Raw genomic sequence first — 21,164 nt, forward strand, 5'->3', positions numbered from 1 at the left:
CACATACCTCAACATCTGCATAAACTTAGAATTCATACACCCCTTCGTCAAAGAGTCTCAAAACCACCCTGAGATGGGCTGGTTGAGTCAGGACAGCCCCTTCTTCCCCACAACTCCTCATCCAAGCTGGTCAGCCAGAGGCCCTCCCCCAGGCTCCTGCTCACTCCAGGAGAACAAGGAACAGGACAATGTGTTTCTCCTCTCACCTCTAAGGGATGGCCTCACAAATCCTCAGCCTAGACCCTTCCCCTTGCCTGAGCCCAGGGCTGCAATGACTGCACTGAGATGAGATGGAACCGTAAAGGCAGTGACTCCTGCTGACAATGAAATGGAGCTCAGGAGATGAAGGGACTGGCCTGAGGTCTCTCCACTAGATCACAACTGGGGGTTAGAAGAGGGATCTTGGGGCCCTCAACATACCAAGTCCCCACTCACGCCCTCTTTCCCCAACAGCGGGTACCCCTCCTGTCTCAAGTATCTCCATTCTCCCAGGCTGGGACCTTGCAAATACCTCCAGCTCCTCCCTTGCCTTATTTCTCTCATCCAAGACCAGAACCCTTCCGTGATAAGAAACTGCAGAGGGCCCCAACCTCCCAAGCCTACTGCCTGGTCCCTACCACCTCATGCCCAGGAGCTGAGGCTGAGCTCCCCAGAGCCCATCCCACCCACCAGGGCCAGATTCCTCTGGCCCTAACATGCCTTTTTCATGCCACTCACCTGTCCAACAATCTGCCATGGCTCCTCTATCCCACTGGATCAATCCTGTCCTGCCCAACATGCCCAACCCCCAGAAACCAGTCTTACCCACCCCTGCCAAGCTGGTTTCACCCTGCTCCCCTATGTACCCCTCCCCTCTTGCGGGGATTATCTCCTCTCTAATCCCTCTCTAGGTACCCATGTCATTCCCTTCCTTTGGAGGGTCCTTCCTTCTCCCCTTTCCTCCCTCCTATTGGTCCTTCAAGGCTCTGTCCAAGTTTCCCTCCACAAGGAGGCCTCCCATGACCCCCGCAGTGCTCTCTGACTCCTCTGCACACAATCCTCACTACACACTCAGGGCCTAAGCCTGTTGGCCTCCTGGCTGTGAGTTGTCACTACACTGTCTGAGCTGTACAAGCTTGACCTCATCACCAAACTGCAAAATGACCATCCACCAATATGGCCATGTTCCTTCTGCCTCCAACCTCAGCCTGGCATTCATCCCACAAATATTATCTGAGTGTCTCCAATAGACCCAGAAAGTTCTTGTCCATGTTCTTGAAACCCTCCTTACATTTCAAAGCACAAGTTAAATGCTACCTGTTCTGTGAATCCTTCCCCACACCGCCCCCCACCCTGTCCCCAGGAGCCATCTCTCCACTTTACTCTCAGGCCCTATTTCCCCATGTCCTCCCTGAGATCTAGGACTTCTGTTCCTTACTCATAGCTGGGCCTCCCACAATACCCTATACCAAGAGGATGCTCAATGAGTGGCTTTCACAGTGAACTGAAACAGAATCTGTCCAATTCTGAGGCCAGTCTGGGCTCCTGGGTGGCCTCAAGCTGCCTACATCCAAATGACCTCTCACTGTTCTTCCAAGATTGGATTTGGGCCCAGACTGAGTCAAATGACCTCTTATCATTCTTCCAAAATTAGGCTTTCCTCTTTAATTACACCTTATCTCGCCATACTCTTTGTGGATTCTAATTACGTAATTACTTCAAGCCCTGGGACTTGAAAACAAACAAAGAAAAGAAGGGAGTGTGCGTGATTACACAGGTAAGTAAACACACCAAATATGCTTATTTACATATACCATACGCCATTTTCTTGTTCCTATACAATGTTGTAACCTGCAGAATAAAACCTGAGGAGGGGTCTAAATCACATTAGGATAAAAATCCCACTGGGTAGCAGGAGACCAAGGAGAATGTCATTCTCCTGAGATGGGCTTTAAAGAGCCTTGAAGTCAACCTCCAGCACCCTCCTCTTCCCCTTCTACAATGAAGAGAGGGGCCTCTGTGATCTTGAGCATGTTCCATTTTTAAAGCATGACCAGGCCCGATCCCTGCTAAGCAAAATATATACCCTCTTCTGAATGCCAAGTATTCCTCATGCTGTGTCTCTCCTAAGGCACATTTGCACCACTGCTAGACTATGCCCATGCTGCAGGCAGGGGCCCAGTCTCATCTCTCTTAGTAATCCTAACTCTTAACCCCTCCCAATCCCAGTAGCAAGCCCTCCTCCTGCCTTACTAAAGTATGTGCCCTTCTCCCAATCCACTAAGCCTGCCCTTGCATGTGCCGGTCCCTCTGTCCTCTGGTTGGATTCCAGCTCACCCCCCAACCCACATGCCCTCATGGCACCCTGTACTTGCCCTAACATATTGTTCATCACACTTTGGCATAAAAACCCTTTCGACTATAATCCTAGCTACTCAGGAGGCTGAGCCAGGAGAATCACTTGAACCTGGGAGGCGAAGGTTGCAGTGAGCTAAGATCGCACCATTGTACTCCAGCCTGGGCAACAAGAGAGAAACTCTGTCTCAAAAAACAAAACAAAACAAAACAAAAAACAAACAAACAAAAAAACCCTTTCATTTTCCTACCTCTCCCTTCAGACCAGTAGTCTCCAAACTTTTTGATCACACCTTCCTATTTGTGAAATAGTTTTGAGGATACTTACAAAGTAATTATAAATCTGTACTCCTATAAATAGGAAAGCTAAGTCTTTCCTTTAGTTAAAGCATAAACAGAACTCCAACTGATAAAGCTTTCTTCCTGCCCTCAATGGCTATCTTGAGCACTGCTTATCTACTGCTCTAGTTTAGGAGCTCGGTGAGGACAGCAGGGGTGTTTCATTCTCGTTGTATTCCCAGGATCTCTACCGAACCCAAAACATAATAAATGAAAAAATGAATTAATTTACTTAACAGATAGTGGGGCCCCTCTGTAGGCCAGGCCCGTGCTAGGTACTGGGGACATACTGGTGACAAGAAAGAGCCCTGGCCACTGTTGTCATAACCCTACAGGCTGGTAGGGTGGGCAAACAATGATTTTCCAAAAAAGTGTAACAAAGACCACCGAACCATAAGAGCCCTCAAACAGGAGAGTGTCACCTAGGAAGCAGGGCCAGAGATAATTTCCCCAGAACATGACGCTCCAGGTGAGATCTGAGGGGTAAGAGGCACGAACCAGGTCAGGAAGGAAGGCTCCCTTTACATTCCAGGCTAAGGAAACCACATGCGCAAAAGTCCTGAGGCTGGACGGAGAACGGTAGGCACCAGGGACTAACAGAGGCCAGTAAAACAAAACAAATGCATAAACTCAGCAAGCCCAAGAAGGATGGCGAGCTCTCCTTCTCCCCTTCACTCCTCTCCACTTGTCAAAACAGACCACCCCCGACTACCACCCTCTGAGGCAGTGGCTCAGCCCTGCTACTGCCCAGCCTCTAAGCCAAGCAGAACAGGTGGGCTCTTGGCCTCCCAGCCAGCCCTCCCAAGACTGGACCCTCACATCACCCCTAACCCATGGACCCCCATATCACCCCTTCTGAGGAGCCCAGGGACTCCGAGAAGACACTCCTGAAAACCATGCATGTTGCCATAGGCACCAGCAATCAAAGGTTCCTGGACAGTTAATTTTTTAAAGAGAGTGTTAAATATTTTACATCTTCTAACAGCACTGTTTCTTCCTTGCCTATGATAAAAGGGAACACCCTATACTCCTCAAATTAAGGACTCACTCAAAATAAATGCCAATCTGCAAGACAGCCCAGGGAGGTCTGCACCCTACTGTCAAGGGCATCTTACAACGTCCTCATGACATCCTTGCATTCCTTGAGGGAAGCACCTGGAGAACCCAGAACCATAGGCCACCAAACCCCTTCCCTGCTGGAGCTCCTTTGACCCCAGGAAGGGAAAATTACTCACAATGATGCTTCAGGTGAGTATTTAAATAGCCCGTGCCTTTAATAATTAAAGACAAAACCAAGAACATAAACTGTAATGCAGGCTGGCGGCTGCAGACCCTCCTCCCGGAGCAGCTGTCTTGATGAGAAGCCGTATCTTCTAACAGTGCTCAGGCATGACTAATATTTCCCAGTTCCTAGGGGGCCTCGCCCCCTCACACCTGCCATTGCTGGCTCACTAATGTACCACGTCCAACATAGAGGCCCTGCAAAGCAAACACAAAATAGTCCTAAAAGGCCTAACATTGCCTTGGCCTCGGTTCATGGGCCTGGCAACTTGATTTTCAGCAACCACCAAACCCTGCTTAGGCCCTCAGCTCTCCCAAGCTCCAGCTTTCTCCAGCTACTCTCATTTCTGTCCCTGTTGGGATTTTGCTTTCCTTCTCCAGAGCCTCTATTCACTTTGTCCTGCTTAAAAGCAGTTCCCACTCCTGCCTCACCTCTCCACCCAGATTCCCCACTGGCAAGGCCACTGGGGCAGCAACTCAGATCTCCCAGCTCCAGTTCCAGCCTTTCTTACCTCATCCCTGGCTTCTAGACTCTGCCCAGTCTCCTATCGCCAGCCTCCTGTGTGCACTGTCTACAAAGAAAGGCCCTGTGGTCGCTCACACCTATAATCCCAGCACTTCGGAAGGCCGAGGTGGGCAGATCAGGAGTTCGAGACCAGCCTGGTCAACATGGTGAAACCCTGCCTCTATTAAAAACAAAAAAAGTAGCCGGGAGTGTTGGCAGGCGCCTGTAGTCCCAGCTACTCAGGAGGCTGAGGCAGGAGAATCGCTTGAACCCAGGAGGCGGAGGCTACAGTGAGCCAAGATCATGCCACTGTACTCCAGCCTGGGTGGCAGAGTGAAACTCCATCTTGAAAAAAAAAAAAAAGGGAGAGAAACAAAGGCCCAAGCCCAGAAGACTCAGCACTGTATATCTTACAGCAGCACTGGAAAGACTCCCTTACATCAACGTACCAGGCAAACAGTCCCATTTTCCTCCCTGTCAATTTGTTATAAGCAATTACAACCCCTGGCCATAATTCCATGCTCACAGGAAACAGTCACCCAACACTGGATCTGCCCCAACTGAAGATAAATTCTAAGTGGAGAAAAGCAATATGCAAATGAATTATCTTTTTACACATCAGACATACTGCTCATATGCTCAGCCACCAGGTTCCACACAGACTCCAGGCAATAAGAGAAACTGAATTTCACAAGGTATGTCCTAGTGGCCTTTCATACTAGGAAACCGAGGTCAGCCCACAGGTTGATGTTAATGATCAATGCATAAGCTATTATATAAATGTGTAATGAGCTTTCACACTGACATGCAAACAGAAGAACAATTCCGGGATCTACTAAGCACCCATTCCTATCATAACTGTTATAAGCTAGACCACCACCCAAGATGATGGAACATCAAGGCCCAAACAAGAATGGATTGGCAAAGCCAGTTACAGGCTGTATCAGTCCTTTCTTGCATTGCTATAAAGAAATACCTGAGACTAGGTAATTTATAAACAAGAGAGGTTTAATTGGTTCATGGTTCTGCAGGCTGTACAGGAAGCATGATGCTGGCATCTGCTCGGCTTCTAGGGAGGCCTCAGGAAACTGACAATCAAGGCAGAAGGTGAAGGAGGAGCAGGCATGGAGCAGGCATGTCACATGGCCAGGGCAGGAGCAAAAGAGCAAAGAGGGAGGGGCTGCACACTGTTAAATGACCAGGTCTCACAAGAACTCACTCACTATCATGAGGACAGTACCAACAGGATGATACTAAACCACTCATGAGAAACTGCCCCTACAATCCAATCCCCTCCCACCAGGCCCCCCTCCAACATTAGGAATTATGTTTCAATATGAGATTTGAGTGGGGACACACATCCAAACTGTACCATAGGTGAAGCCTCAAGCACTCAATACTTCTTTTTTTGTTTGTTTTTGAGACAGAGTCTTGCTCTGTCGCCCAGGCTAGAGTGCAGTGGCATGATCTCTGCTCACTGCAACATCTGCCTCCTGGGTTCAAGCGATTCTCATCCCTCAGCCTCCCGAACAGCTGGGACTACAGGCGCGTGCCACCACACCTGCAAATTTTTTAAATTTTATTAGAGAAAGGGTTTCACCATATTGCCCAGGCTGGTCTCAAACTCCTGAGTTCAGGTGATCCATTCACCTCAGCCTCCCAAAGTGCCAGGATTATAGGCGTAAGCCACCGCACCCGGCCAAGCACTCAATACTCCTGATCACTGGTACTCAGGGAGAACCTGTATTTCTATGCCATGCTGAGAATCAGGCTTGCTAGGAACAGTCTCCTCACAGGTCAGCTCAGGGTCTGCCACTACTAGACACCTGACCTCAGATACATCACTGGCCTATTATAGTACTTTCCCTGTGTGCCTCCCCTGGCTGAGGCAAGGTGCCACATCCATTATGTACCTCTAGAGCACCCTCACTACCTGCACCTCCACACGCACTGTATCATACTAGAACCTTCCTATTTCATAGCCTGAAATGCACTGTTGATGTCTGTTGTGGAAGACAAGAGCCCTGCCCTCTGGGTGTTCATGAAGAAATAAACACCTGCAGGGTGGGGCCCATGTCTACAGTGTTGATGAGACTGCTCTGTTAAACTACTTCTTGGCTGAGCACAGTGGCTCATACCTATAATCCCAGCACTTTGGGAGGCCGAGGGGGTGTATCACCTGAGGTCAGGAGACCAAGACCAGCATGGCCAACATGGTGAAACCCCATCTCTACTAAAAATACAAAAAATTAGCCGGGTGTGGTGGCGGGCACCTATAAGCCCAACTACTCAAAAGGCTGAGGTTGAACCCGGGAAGCAGAGGTTGCAGTGAGCCGAGATCGCGCCATTGCATGCCAGCATAGGTGACAAGAGCAAAATGCCATCTCAAAAAATAAATAAATAAAGTATTTCTTAAGCCAAAGTTCCACATATAAGCAGAGATTTACCTACCCAATGGGGCACCCTCCCATCCCTGGGGCTAACATCAGAGCTCTCTTTCTCCTCATGCAGCAAAATGGGGCACCCCTAAAACACTGTGAAAGACTGAGCAACAGAGGGAATGACACCAACAAGAGATGCAAACCTCCAAGAAAATACCAGGGCCCAGCTGGGCTTCTGTCCCTGCTCTCTTCTGCATTCCTTCGATGCAGCCCGCTGCTCCACAGGGGTGATGGTAAATGTCCCACCCATTCCATGATGGAGATGTAGTGAGGGGAGAAGAAATGCATGGGGACAGGGGAAAGGGGTGTGGGGACCAGCCTATGTGCAGGCAAGCCAGGAGAAAGGAGATACTGAAAGGATCCTTATTCAGAGGACCAGTGACCAGTTGTGACACTCAGAGGACTTCATGGACATACTGGCATTTTCACATCAGCTCACATGACTAAAGCAGCCCCTGGCTGAGAAACATTCCATTACGTATCCCTCCCCAGGTGGTCAGTCAGCTCTACAAGCATAGCCTTTCCTAACAGTCTTTCTCCACTCCACTCTGCTGTTTGAAAATGCCTCCTTGGCTCTCCCACTATCTTCTGTCCCCTTCTCAGTCTCAATAATAGTAACCAGAATTTACTGAATTATTACTACTTATGTGTCATGCATAGTTCTTTTCTTTCCTTTTTTTTTTTTTTTTTTTTTTGAGTTGGAGTCTTGCTCTGTTGCCCAGGCTGGAGTGGTATAGTACTGTGATCTTGGCTCACTGCAGGCTCAACCTCCCAGGCTCAAGAGATCCTCCCACCTCAGCCTTCCAAGTAGCTGGGACTACAGGCTTGCACCACCACACCCAGCTAATTTTTCAAGTTTTTGTAGAGATGGGGGTCTCCCTATGTTGCCCAGGCTGGTCTCGAACTCCTAGGCTCAACTGACTCTCCCACCTCGACCTCCCAAAGTGCTGGGATTACAGGTGTGAGCCACCAGGCCCAGCCCATAGTTCTAAAGACTTGAATGACTGGGTCATCTAATCCTCCCTGCAATCCTGTGAGATAGGTGCTATTACTTCCTCCATTTCACAGGTGATACAACTGAGGCACAGGGCAGTGACTTGCCCTAAGACCTAAATCTAGGAAGTAGCAAAGCCAGGATTTGAACCCAGGCAGCCTGAGTGCAAAGACTATACTCTCAGTTGCCCTACCTCACCTCAGGGAGAGAAGAGCCACACTCAAAGATAAGAGACCTGTTCCTAGCTCAGTCTTAAACAAATGGCTTTTCTGTGCCTCAGTTGCCTCCACCATGAAATGCTAATCATAAATGTCGGGTCTAGAAACACAGAATCTTAGCTCTATGATCAGCCTGCCTAAGAGTTCCTCCTGAGATTACAGAAACACTCTACAACTGCCCATGCCGACCGTAGGGCAGTCACTAGCCACACGTGCCTACAGAGCATTTGTGGCTAGCATGACCGAGAAGCTGAATTTTTAACGGTATTTCAATCTAATTAATTTCAATAGCCACATGTGGCTACTAGCTACTATACTGGACAGCTCAGCTCTAGTCTATAAATTCCAAGAGGGAAGGTGCCATTTCTCTTTGTTCGCTGCTATATTCCCAGAGCCCAGCATGGACGCTGGTCTATAACCGGTGCTCAATAACTATTTGATGAACAAATCAAAAGCAAAGGACTTTTCAGGTGCTCTAATAGTACCTCATCTCCCACACAGGCATTGATTCTTCATGTTCCCTGGAGAGTGGACATTTAGCCTTGGCTTGACACAGAATTCAGGGCTTCCTAATGCAGTCTGGTAGGGAGTTGCTCTTACAATAAAAAATATCTTCCACTGAGCTAAATCAATATCCCTAAAATTTCTAGTTACTAGTCCTGGCACATAAACTCAGAAGTGTGGGAAAACCAAAAGAAGTTATGAAAAAACACTTAAATGTTTTTAAACACCTGAATGCAGGGATACATCTATAATTCATTTTCATGGTTAAGATGAATCTGATCTTAACTGGTAACAAGTCTTTCTCCGCTCCACTGTGCTGTTTGAAATGAATATATGACTACTATCTGTTTGGGAGAAAACAATCCTCTAGTGTCAAGGCTGTGGTCCAGAATTGCTGTCTCCATTGATTTTAATACCAATGCATTTGAGTCCCCCAACTCCATAAGTGGGCCAGGGAACGTGCAGCTAGGCCCTCAACAAGCTAGGCTTGTTCTCCAAGCAGGGTCTGGGGATTCTGGCAGAACAACTCACATTTTCATATTTCCTACATACCTCCTATGTACCAACAACTGTGATAGACACAGGAGATACAGAGGATGGCGACGTGATACTCACAAGGAGCCCTCGGTTTAGAAAAAGGGAGAGTCAAAATGTGCAGAGGACTTACTTTGTACAAGGCACTGAACTAAGCCAGGAGAAAGACATATAAACCAAACACAATCAACTCAGTGTGGCCCATGCCAAAACAAACATACATACAAAACACCACAGTGGCTGCCTTAGAAGAGACACGTAGAGAATCCTAGCACCGTGGCTTGCACACAGCAGGTGCTCAATGCAGAGAACTGAATCAAACCTTGACCAACATCTCATTTTAAGGCTGGGAAAACCAAGGCCCAGATAGGTTAAGGGACTTCTCAAAGTGACTCAGGTAGTTACTGACAGGGCTGAAGACAGCAACACTCTGTAACACTGTCTCCCTCCCAGTGCGTCTTATCCTCCACTGCATGGGGAGAATAGGCAGGATCTGCTGCCTATTATTATGTCTATCTCAGAATAAGCGACGGATTTATTTTTGCAACACTGTATGTTTGGGTGTCTTGAAATCTGATGACTAAATGTACGCATATCATCCTAGGAACGGGCTTTCAATCATTTAACAAACACTTCTTGAGAATATACTCTATATCAGGCACAAATTTAAGTGTGTGAATGAAGAAATGAAACAAACTTTTGGTCAAATCAGAGAGCTGAACACCCATGTTTATCTCTGCTCTCTTCTGGACTCCCACTAAAAGGACAGTAGACGGATGCATTTCTTAATGAAAAAAGAGACCCCAGCAGATGAGATATGTCAACAGCAGTGGAGAGCTGACCACCATGCAGTAGCTGATTTAGGTTTCCGCATTGTCTGCTCTGCTAAGTGCAAGCAGAGCAGGAGCCACTAAACAAGTGCCCAACTCATGGCACAGAACACAAAGACAGTTCAGGAAGTGGAGGCACCAAGGACTCTAAAGGGAAAAGCAGGGTAAAGCTAAAAAGAAGGGTGCCTGCCTGCAAGTTGGTACAAAGAGCAGTCAGACCCAGGGTCCCTCTTGCAGTCTGCTCAGCCTGGTGATTTCCCTGCCTCAGCTAGCAGAAGGTGGAGATCCACTGATCAGGTAACTTACACCAGAGATACAGCCAAGGGAGGGACACAGCTGAGGGAGGTAGAGAGATGGGAGAGAGGGATGGCAGGTGGGGGCAACTTTCAAAAGACCCAGGGATTGAGTGAAAGTCTGCATATCAAACAGACTAATACCTAGCCCCTTTCCCCATGGAGGCTCCCAGAATGCAGGAAGGCCAGGCTGTTTACCACCCCACCCCACCCTACCCCACACCCAGGTAAAATCCTCTCCAAGAAAGCCCTATCCAGGAAAGCCCCAGGAAAAAGATCTACCGGCGCTGATATCTAGGCTGCTCCAGTAGAGAAAAAGGGGGCTCTCTGCTGGGTCACTCTACAATGAAGTTAACGACTCCCTTCCTTGTGGCACTGATGCCCAATCAGCATTTCGGTGTCCATTCTTAAAATATACATAGACAGTCAAGGATCAGCATGCATGGAAGGATAGCTGCAATGGAAGATACAGTAACCAAAACAAATGGAAAAAGGGACTTGGAAGAAACAACATCTTCCAAGGGACAGCAGGGAACAGCAGAAAACCATAAAAAAAACAAAAACAAACAAACAAAACCCTTAATATAAAGGAATTTACTGTACCCATGAAACAAGAATAGAATGTCATCTAAAAAAGAAAAGCAAGTATTCAGAGAACTAGGGAGCTCTTACAAAGTAAAACATGCAAATATGTTCCACGTAAACACATGAAAGCACAGTTAAAAATGGAAAAGAGTTGAAGATAAAGCTGAAGATAGCTCTCTGAAAGACAAAAATATAATAAAATGAAAAAAGGAAATAAAATGTTTTAAAATTATAAACTTGCTCCAGGAAGTCCAACATTCAGCTAATAGGCATGCCAAAGACAAAACACAGAAAATGGAGAAAATGAAATTATTAAAATATATCTAATTAAGAAAATTTCCCCAAACTGAAAGACGTCAATCTTCAGATCAAAAAGGCACACACCGGCTGGACGCAGTGGCTCACACCCGTAATCCCAGCATTTTGGGAGCCCGTGGCGGGTGGATCACCTGAGGTCTGGAATTTGAGACCAGCCTGGCCAACGTGGTGAAACCCCCATCTCTACTAACAATGCAAAAATTAGCTGGGCGTGGTGGCATGCGCCTGTAATCCCAGATACTTGGGAGGCTAAGGCACGAGAATCGCTTGAACCCGGGAGGCGGAGGTTGCAGTGAGCCGAGATTGCACCACTGCACTCCAGCCTGGGCAACAGAGTGAGACTCCATCTCAAAAAAAAAAAAAAAAAAGGCCCACACCAAAGACCCAGGCCAATCATTTTTAAAGCAAGGAGATTTCAAATACAGGAAAAGAGAGAAGATCCCAAAAACTTTCAGTGAGAAATCAGGTTATCCATAAATGATCAAGAATCAGAATGGTATCCGAATTTTGATACCAATATTAGAACCTAGATGACAGTGGAATGATGGCTTCAAAATTCTAAGGGAAATGGCTTTCGACTTCAAATTCTAGATGAATCAAATCACCAATCGAATATGAATGTAGAATATGAACATTTTCAGACCTGTAAGCTTAAAGTGATCAACTTCCACAGACCCTCTCTCAGAAACTTGTGGAAGAATAAATCAACAAAGGAAACAGGATCCCACCCAGGATAAGGTGAGGGAATTCCCAGGATGAGTCATGCCACAGGCCTAGAGGTCAATGGGCAAGAACAAAGGAGACAGAATGGAGGCCTATAGGAGGGAAGTCTCCAAGCGGGCGTAAAAAAAAAAAAACAGTAATAAAATAAAAAGGAACAAGCGCAGGCACGGTGGCTCATGCCTGTAATCCTAGCACTTTGAGAAGTTGAGGAGGGAGGATTGTTTGAGGGCAGGAGTTAGAGACCAGCCTAGGCAATGTAGTGAAACCCCATCTCTACCAAAAAACTTTAAAAATTAGCTGGACATGGTGGTGCCTGTAGTCCTAGCTACTCAGGAGGCTGAGGCAGGAGGATCACTTGAGCCCAGGAGGTCAAGGCTGCAATGAGCTACAATCGCACCTCTGCACTCTAGCCTGGTGGACAGAGCAAGGCCCTATCTCAATAAATAAATAAATAAATAGGAACACATGTTATAAAACAAATGTCTTAAGATGCTGTCAAATACTTTGAGAATTAGCAATAAGTACATAGAAACTAAGTAAATAGAAAATGTAAGATAATTATTAACTCAAAAAATGTACAAGAAAGAAAATATTATAGTATACTATATGGCTCTGTCATGAACACTATTTACACAGCCAAAATAATGTAAGCACCAAATATCAATGTAATCAAAAACTGTGATATATCTATAATGAGAGGATAGGGAGAAAGGGAAGTATTGGGGGGCAGAGGAGAGGATCTAATCCATAGTAAGACATCAAGACATAACATCTAAAAGTAACCTCTAAGCTGGGCATGGTGACTCACACCTGTAATCCCAGAACTTTAGGAGGCCCAGGTAGGAGGAGTGCTTCAGGCCAGGAGTTAAAGTCCACCCTGGCCTCAAGCAGGGTCTCAACATAGCAAGACCCTGTCTCTACAAAAAGAAAAATAAGGAAAAATAAAAATAACATCTAAAATGGACAATCAGAAAACAGCATTGTAAGCAGGTAACAATAAATATGATAGTAATATCAGGAGAAACAGCTCAGTGCATTAGAAGTAACTGTTGTAAACAGAGTAACAGCAGCCCCTCAAGGATGTCTATATCCTAACTGCCATGCCTGGCTAATTCTTTGTATTTTTTGCAGAGATAAGGTTTTACTATGTTGGCCAGGCTGATCTTGAACTCCTGGCCTTAAGTGATCCGCCGGCCTCAGCCTCCCAAACTGCTACGATTACAGGAATGAGCCACTGCGCCCAGGCAGCCTTTATATTTTTCTAGTAGTATTGACTTTTTTTTTTTTTTTTTTTTGAGAGGGAGTCTGGCTCTGTTGCCCAGGCTGGAGTGCAGTGGCACAATCTCAGCTCGCTGCAACTTCCGCCTCCCTGGTTCAAGTGATTCTCCTGCCTCAGCCTCCAGATTAACTGGGATTACAGGCGCCCGCCACCGTGACTGGCTAATTTTTGTATTTTTTTAGTAGAGATGGGATTTTGCCATGTTGGCCAGGCTGGTCTCAAACTCCTGACCTCAGGTGATCCGCCCACCTCAGCCTCCCAAAGTGCTGGGATTACAGGCGTGAGCCACCACACCCAGCCTATTTGTCTTTCAAAACTCTGTGCGGGGTGGGGGTGCACAGTGGCTCAGGCCTGTAATCCCAGCACTTAGGGAGGCCAAGACAGGCAGATCACTTGAGGTCAGGAGTTCGAGACCAGCCTGGCCAACACTGTGAAACCCTGTCTCTACTAATAATAAAAAAATTAGCTGGGGGGGTGGTGGTCTCCTGTAGTCCCAGATACTAGGGAGGCTGAGGCAGGAGAATCGCTTGAACCCGGGAGGTAGAGGTTGCAGTGAGCTGAGATCATGCCACTGCACTCCAGCCTAAGCAACAGAGGGAGACTCTGTCTCAAAACAAACAAAAAAGAAACTCTCTGTGTACACACACACACACACACACACACACGCGAAAGTTTTATACAAATTAAAATTTAATTTAAAAAGAGAAGAAACACAGACTCACTCTATTCCCAGAACTCACAATATGGGGGAGGAAACAGACAAGGGAACCAGCAATATCAACAGAAGTAGAAAGCTGAACACAAGAAGAAAGGCATCTCTTTTTTTGTTTGTTTTTTTTTTTTTTGAGATGGAGTTTCGCTCTTGTTACCCAGGCTGGAGTGCAATGGCGTGATCTCGGCTCACTGCAACCTCTACCTTCCGGGTTCAAGTGACTCTCCTGCCTAAGCCTCCTGAGTAGCTGGGACTACAGGCATGCGCCACCACGCCCGGCTAATTTTTTGTACTTTTAGTAGAGAGGAGGTTTCACCATGTTGGCCAGGCTGGTCGCGAACTCCTGACCTCAGGTGATCCACCTGCCTCGGCCTCCCAAAGTGCTGGGATTACAGCTACCGCGCCCAGCTGAAAGGCATCTCTTTAAGATGTGAGGGGAGTCTGAGGGGAGAAGGCATCAGCCAGGAAACGCAGAAAAAGGCCTTCTGGTGAGGGAACCAGTCCTGGTGGGGGGTGCAGGGGGGCCTGGCCTTTGGGGACGTGGAGTAGGGAATGACCGGGCATCTGGTGGTTTGGCAGAGCCAGCAGGAAAGCATGGAGGGGTGGTTCTCAGCACCAGCAGGTTTGATGCCTACCCTATCCCCGGCTTCTCCAGTTGGGGTATGAGACTGATATGCATATTTACAGAGGGCTGGTACAAATGAGGGCCCACAATAAACACATTTTCGTAGAACGTCAATTGTATTCAACAGTAAAGCAACTTAAATACTTTTATACTAAAACCAGTACACATATATTACAGAGAATACAAACCTAATGTGACAAGGTGACTTCTTGTTTGCAAGGCCCACTTTAGATACTAAAGTACTTGCTGACCACTGAGCATCAAGAGTCAATCCTCTCTGTAACTAATTAGAGTCAGAAGAAAATCATAAAGCGGTACAGCATCCATCCATCAAAGAATCCGGGAACTTTACACCAGCAACTGTCGGTGGGTGCCCACCCTCCCAAGGTGGGCAGAAGACATACCTTGGGTCCCACTCAACACTAATCAGAAAGTTAACAAGCATCTCATTCTTTTCCAAAAGGGTCTGGGTCCTGCTACAGCCAGTTAGGTTAGCTCAGCCTGAGGAAACAGAGAAAACAACGATGCTAATTCTTCCTAGATATACTCTCTAGGCCATAGCCCGCCAGCCCCTATTCTAAGCAGTACCGCAGTCACTGAGAAGAGCCCCACCTCCACTATCAGCACCCCTAACCCCTTACAGTACAGGCCTCTGTTACAGAATGCATTAAAGACACTTTTTCCATGGAAGGAAGTCTAGAAACAGGGTACATCCCTTGAGAGAGGGTGTCCCTTGTGGTCCACAATACAAGGGTGGAAACTTTTTTCTATTGTTGTGAAAACAATAACCGCATGACAGAGACCTGGGAACTTTTTTTTCTATAAAAAGCCACTGCTGACCACAGAAGAAGTGGGGGGATAAATCAATGGAAGGCCACACAGAAGTAAAAAGCAATTTAGTTGGATTTGGTTCATTTGCCTCTTTTTTGTTTTGTGTGTAAAACACATACACATTCAAAAAAGACTGAATTCAACTGATTTTATTTATTTATTTATTTGGATGGAGTCTCACTCTGTCCCCCAGGCTGGAGTGCAGTGGTACAATCTCGGCTCACTGCAACCTCCACCTCCCAGGCTCAAGCAATTCTTTCTGCCTCAGCCTCCTGAGTAGCTGGGATTACAGGCACCCATCACCACACCCAGCTAATTTTTGTCTTTTTTTTTTTTTTTTTTTTTTGAGACGGAGTCTTGCTATGTCGCCCAGGCTGGGGTGCAGTGGCGCGATCTTGGCTCACTGCAAGCTCCGCCTCCCAGGTTCATGCCATTCTCCTGCCTCAGCTTCCCGAGTAGCTGGGACTACAGGTGCCTGCCACCACACCCGGCTAAATTTTTGTATTTTTAGTAGAGACGGGGTTTCACCATGTTGACCAGGCTGGTCTTGAACTCCTGACGTCAGGTGATCCACCTGCTTCAGCCTCCCAAAGTGCTCGGATAACAGGCATGAGCTACCTTGCCTGGCCCTCGACTGATTTGAAATGAAGAACAGAGAACATGAAATTTTAATGGCAATAGATTAAAAGAAACTACAAAGATATATTGTTGATAATAAAGAAAGAATGAGGGAGGAGGGCAAGGAGAAAGAGGTAAGAAAAAGAAATGGATAGTGGAGGGAGATGTAGCAAAAGAAGAATGGGAGACAGCAAGATTCAGGGACGGGTCCACATGCCTAACCGCACACAAAAAGGGGGAGCCACCAAAGGACCCACAGAGACACTTTCTAGGGCTTGAAGAGTTAGCCAAAGTCAGTTACATTGTTCATGGCCAGCTGTTGGCTGTAGCTCCAGACCTTGAACTATTATCACCTTTTATCCTTGCCTTTGAATGGTTAGTGCTCTGGTCAACCACTGTTCACAGCTCTTTAATTGCTCATTGAAACATTCTGAGGCTTAGCTTAGGTCACAAGCCAGAAGCTCCCCCAAATGAGCTACAATTCAGTAAATCATTCATCTCCAAGTATCTCCTCTGAAAAGGGAGTATTCGAAACACTATCTCATAAAACATTCAAAGCACCGATGAAAATCCAAGGAGAAAATGCTGCTTGCACTGAAACGAAATCCATGGAAAAGTGTTCTGAGTTTTGCATTTACAAAAAAACCGGGACTTCAGCAGAACTGAGTCCCACCTCAGCATCAGCCAGCATCACCACCCGCACACCTGACTTCCCACATGTCCACATTCTGCATGCTCCCGTGGATCTAAAGGCCTCAGTTGGTCCTGAAACTAAGCAGCCTCCATGACACTTTGCAATCTGAGGGTCAACAGGAGCAATCCCAAGGAGATTCCAAGACAGTCTCAGGCTGAGGTTGAACTCTCAGTCCACCCCCCCACCCCCCATCCTAGGCTACCAAACCTCCCCTCACTTCACCCCAAGGGCTGCAGAAGAGCTCAGCTGTTTCAGAGACAATAGAGCCTCCCCCTTTCAAGCTCCATCCTTTTCTCCTCCAAGCTTGGTTTCTGTGTTTTTCCCTTCCCCACATAATCTGTCCCCAGCCTCCTACTTTCTCGTCTGTTTCTCCAATCTCTCTCTTCTTGTGCTCCTATTTCCTCCTCATGTTTCGCTATTCCATCTTAGAATCATTTCTCTCAGAGGAAGAGGGGGCTTAACAGATACATATAGGCCGGGCACCGTGGCTCAAGCCTATAACCCCAGCATGCTGGAAGGCCAATGCAGGCGGATCGCTTGAGTCCAGGAGTTTGAGACCAGCCTGGGCAACACCGCAAAACTCTGTCTCTACAAAAAGTACAAAAATTAGCTGGGTGTGGTAGTGCGTGCCTGTGGTCCCAGCTACTCGGGAGGCTGAGGTAGGAGGACTGCCTGGGCCCAGGAGGTCGAGGCTGCAGTGAGCCATGATTGTGCCACTGCACTCCAGCCTGGGTGACAGGTGAGACCCTGTCTCAAAACAACCACCACCACCAAAAAACAAAAAAACCCAGATACATCTGGAAACAAGATCTACAATCTATCCCCCCGAGTTCCCACCCCAGCTCCACATCTTGCTAGCTGTGCAACCTTGGAAAAATGGCCAAACCTCCCAACCCCTCAAATTCCTCAGTTTGGCGGGGAAGGGGGAGGAACATGGCAATCACAGAGGTCTTTTATAACTCTCATCTTCTAGATAGGTAAACGTTCACCTGTGTAACCATGAATAAACCAGCAAGTTAAACATCCACAGGGAAAGAGAACAAATTACAGAAACTCCCTTTCCTCAGCAATCTATCATCCCACCCTCATCTCCCACAACCACTCACTCTGGGGTCTGTGCCTCTCACTCTGGACCGTTCTAGCTCTGAATTGTTTACATACTTACAGTAAAACCTCACAAATCACACTAATCAAGGAAAAGGTAGATGTGAATCCAACAGAAGCCTGCATCCTAGAATGCTTCTTCTATGCCATTGTGCAATACTTTGAATTTATTATCAATTTAGCAAACAGGAAAGAACCTGAAAATGCCATCACAAACTGTGACTCTAAGAACAGTGGAGTTGTCAGGAACCCTGGAAGACCTTCTGCCCTATCATCCTCCACTTCACCAGCAAGGACACAGGCCCAGAGAGCAGAAGCCACTAGCCCAAAGCCCAAAGATTGGTGGCCAGGACCAAAGCTAGCTGTCCTGCCTCTGGTCCAGAGCTTCTCCACCAAAGCTTTTTGAGACCATCCATGCCTTTCTCCTAGAGACAGGTCAAATCCTAAATTACCATAGAGTGCCCTCTACAGCAAATCTATCTCCACATCCAGGGAAGGGTCTGGAGATAAGTTAGGATGACCTGATCATTATCAATGCTGCACAATAAAAACTTTCTTTCCTGGCCCTGCCCTTTCATTGTTTACAAAGAAAACCCTAGACTCTGCTATCTGTATTGAACTCTTATTTTAGAGAAGGGGAAAGAGAGGAACAGCTGAACAGTGCTTTGTTCTGCCAGGAAGAATTTGCTCATCCTTTCCCATAACTCCTACCCACTCCCCAATATGCCCAATCTCTTCCGAAAAGTATACAGAAACTCTCCAACTACAACAAATGAAAGCAGGTAGGAGAAGGAAAAGGCCAACAAGGCGGGTATCGTCCACAAGATGACAATACCCTCCCAACTCTTTACCCCACAGGGTAGACAGCAGTTCATTTCAGTTGCTAATTCCCTGCAGGGAAGTCGCCAAAGGAGTGGTCTCAGGGCCCTCCAGCTGAGAAATGTGCTCTCTGCAACCCCTGGAGAACTAACCCTTTCCTAACCATCTGCTCCAACAGTGCCTTGGGCAAAGGTGCCAACAGACCAACCCTTCCCTTCTTTCCCCTCAGGCCAAGAAAGAGACATCAGAGCTTGGTTGGCAAGGGGCTATTTAAGGCAGCATCCAGAGGGCGGGGCAGAAAACTGCTGGAGGCATCCTCCTCCTCCACCCCTCCCCCTCACAGCCCAAACACACGCCCCTCACTCTGTAGACAGCCATCTGCCTCATCGGTGTCTGAAGGCTGTAGATATGTCCATCATCTGTCTTCTGTCATTGATGCTGCTGACCCCTCTGTGTCCACCCCACTTTTAATCCAACCCTCCTCTCTTCGATCACCACCAAGATACCTTTCCAACCAAAACCACAGAATTGAATCTAAGCAGAGGAGCTCAAAACACAAGGAGAGTGAAGACAGCCAATCCATCCCCCGCCTCCACTTAAGAGGAAAAAAGGGCGCGGGGGGCTGGGCGGGGGGGGGGGTGTTGAGGGGAGAGATGGAGTCAGAGGCCTGACACGCCAGATAGGTTCCATGATGTCTCTAGATGAACCTCCCTCCTATTGACGATGAAACCAATTCCAGCAATTTCAGCAGGTCGGCCCTGTGACAACAGGGGCATCCCAACGCTCAGTGTTTAAAACAAAAATCCAAAGGCTCGCCCAGAACATGCTGGGAAAAACCGAGGACTGAACAAAACGAGCCATGCTCAGTGGGATCCCTTCTGCTTTTACGTAGCAATGTAATAGCGTAATAAATTCTTGTCTGCCTGGAGAAAGCATGCACTGGTGAATTTCAAAGCCATCTTACGACAGCGGATGCATGGGGATGCAGAATTCGACAGCACATTCCCCCATGAAGGAAACATAATGACTTCAAGCCTCTTTCCCCTCTATCTTGAATGGCGCTACCACGTATCAAGGAAGCCACATCGGAAAGCAGCGAGGTGGTAGCAGGGGATGCCCGGGGAATTCGGAGAAAGGAGTTGCTTGCTGTCCATGTCGGTGATGAGCTGCCTAGCAAGATGCTGTCAGCCACTCGGGGAGAAGAAGGGGCACGGGCGGCACGGGCAGGCGCCGTGTCCCCGGCGCATACTAGTCCCCGTTCATTCAGGCGGGTCCGGCCAACCGCGTCGTCCTTGCGCCCCTCCCGCCGCCCTCTCCAGGGGATGCTGATGAATGAACACACCTGAGATGCCTCCATCCCGCCGCTCGCTCCCTCCGCCTTCCTCTGGCTGCTGCAGAGGTGCCCCTCCTCGGTAGTTTCACTTTACAGCACAAACCCATTCGGGCTTTGATGTCTCCTCCACCCACCCAAATTGCAGCCACCCTGAGACGGGCGGACATTCTCTCCTAGCAGAGGCCATGATCGTACTACCCCACACCCACCAAAAAAGGAAATTTAAAAACCCCCAACCCTGGAAGCCCCCAGATCCTCCGCACCCTGGGGAACTTTCCTTGAAAGACTGGGGATTCGCCGAGCAGGCAGGATGGACGGTTCGGCCGCGAGGGACCACCGCTTTCCCTGTGCCCATGGGGGGATGCTCTGGGGGAGGGGGTCCCCCAAGTCCCTCCAACAGCTGGCCCTTTAAATGCGCCTCCTCCGAGCGCGGAACAAAGGCGCCGCCCGCGGGGGCCGAGCCGCGCACACCCCCGGCGCTGCCGCCGCCGAGCGGGCAAGCGCGGCCGGGCGGGCGAGCGCGGGCTTACCTTGCTGGTCGCCGGGCGGGCGGGCTGCGCGCGTCCGCCCCACTCGCACTACACGCTGCAGCTGGCCCCGCTCTGTTTTTCTGGGACTCAGCGCTGACTTCACCGACACTCCGCGGACAACCAATGGGCTGCGGTGCCCGCCCCCTCATTAGCATGCCTCTGGAACCGTCCACTCTGGCAGCGCCCGGCCAGCGGGCGGTGCCGGGGGCGGGGCCGGGCCCAGCCGTGACAGGAAGGGGCGTGTGCGCGGATGGGAGGCGAAGAAGTGTCCGGCGCCCGGCTCCTGGCATTGTGAGCCCGCCGGCCTCCGCCGGTAACGGGCGCGCGGGCCTAGTAACCCTTTCCGTCCTGGCCGGGCCGGACGCTGGCCTGGCGCGCCTTCTGGTCCTTCGGAAGGGTCGCCCACGGGGAGCTTGGAAGGAACCTTAGACGTAAAATAACAGTGATAAGTTATTTAACTCCTGGGCCTCAGTTTACCCATCTGTAAAATGGCATAATAGTCCGACTTCGTAAAATCTAGTGAAGATTAACATAGTTAACATAGGTGATGCATTTTGATCAGTTCCTGGCCGTCGTGCTACATAAACGTTTGCTGTTGTCATTCGTGTGCTCTGTACCAGCCAGTGTGCTTAATGCTTCCCGGATATTTCCTCATTTGATCCTCTTAGCCTGATAAGAGAGGAACGATTACTAATCCATATTTTTCTAGTGAGAAAACTG

The 21,164-nt window shown here is 48.3% G+C and overlaps 1 protein-coding gene across 76 annotated transcripts in view, besides 5 other annotated features; it reads right to left on the bottom strand.

Annotated features, from left to right (window-relative positions):
- SORBS1 (sorbin and SH3 domain containing 1) overlaps window positions 1-20,496 on the bottom strand; it is a 249,599-nt gene extending 229,103 nt beyond the window's left edge. For all 76 annotated transcript variants that reach the window (NM_001384455.1, NM_006434.4, NM_001034957.3 and 73 more), the window contains exon 1: window positions 20,445-20,496. The gene's annotated coding sequence lies outside the window, so the exon portion shown is untranslated. The remainder of the gene's footprint in view (window positions 1-20,444) is intronic.
- Window positions 10,848-11,782: an enhancer, noted in NCBI's record as "H3K27ac-H3K4me1 hESC enhancer chr10:97311480-97312414 (GRCh37/hg19 assembly coordinates)". NCBI's record gives its function as "activates a minimal SCP1, AML or CMV promoter by ChIP-STARR-seq in naive H9 embryonic stem cells {active_cell/tissue: H9 hESC(naive)}" and the evidence as "EXISTENCE:reporter gene assay evidence [ECO:0000049][PMID:30033119]".
- Window positions 20,079-20,841: an enhancer, noted in NCBI's record as "H3K27ac-H3K4me1 hESC enhancer chr10:97320711-97321473 (GRCh37/hg19 assembly coordinates)". NCBI's record gives its function as "activates a minimal SCP1, AML or CMV promoter by ChIP-STARR-seq in naive H9 embryonic stem cells {active_cell/tissue: H9 hESC(naive)}" and the evidence as "EXISTENCE:reporter gene assay evidence [ECO:0000049][PMID:30033119]".
- Window positions 20,079-20,845: a biological region, named in NCBI's record as "H3K27ac-H3K4me1 hESC enhancer GRCh37_chr10:97320711-97321473".
- Window positions 20,326-20,435: a silencer, noted in NCBI's record as "silent region_2647". NCBI's record gives its function as "represses an Ori minimal core promoter by ATAC-STARR-seq in GM12878 lymphoblastoid cells {active_cell/tissue: GM12878}" and the evidence as "EXISTENCE:reporter gene assay evidence [ECO:0000049][PMID:35858748]".
- Window positions 20,476-20,845: a silencer, noted in NCBI's record as "silent region_2648". NCBI's record gives its function as "represses an Ori minimal core promoter by ATAC-STARR-seq in GM12878 lymphoblastoid cells {active_cell/tissue: GM12878}" and the evidence as "EXISTENCE:reporter gene assay evidence [ECO:0000049][PMID:35858748]".

The sequence above is a fragment of the Homo sapiens genome, chromosome 10 (genome assembly GCF_000001405.40).
Source record: "Homo sapiens chromosome 10, GRCh38.p14 Primary Assembly".
NCBI lineage: Eukaryota > Metazoa > Chordata > Mammalia > Primates > Hominidae > Homo > Homo sapiens.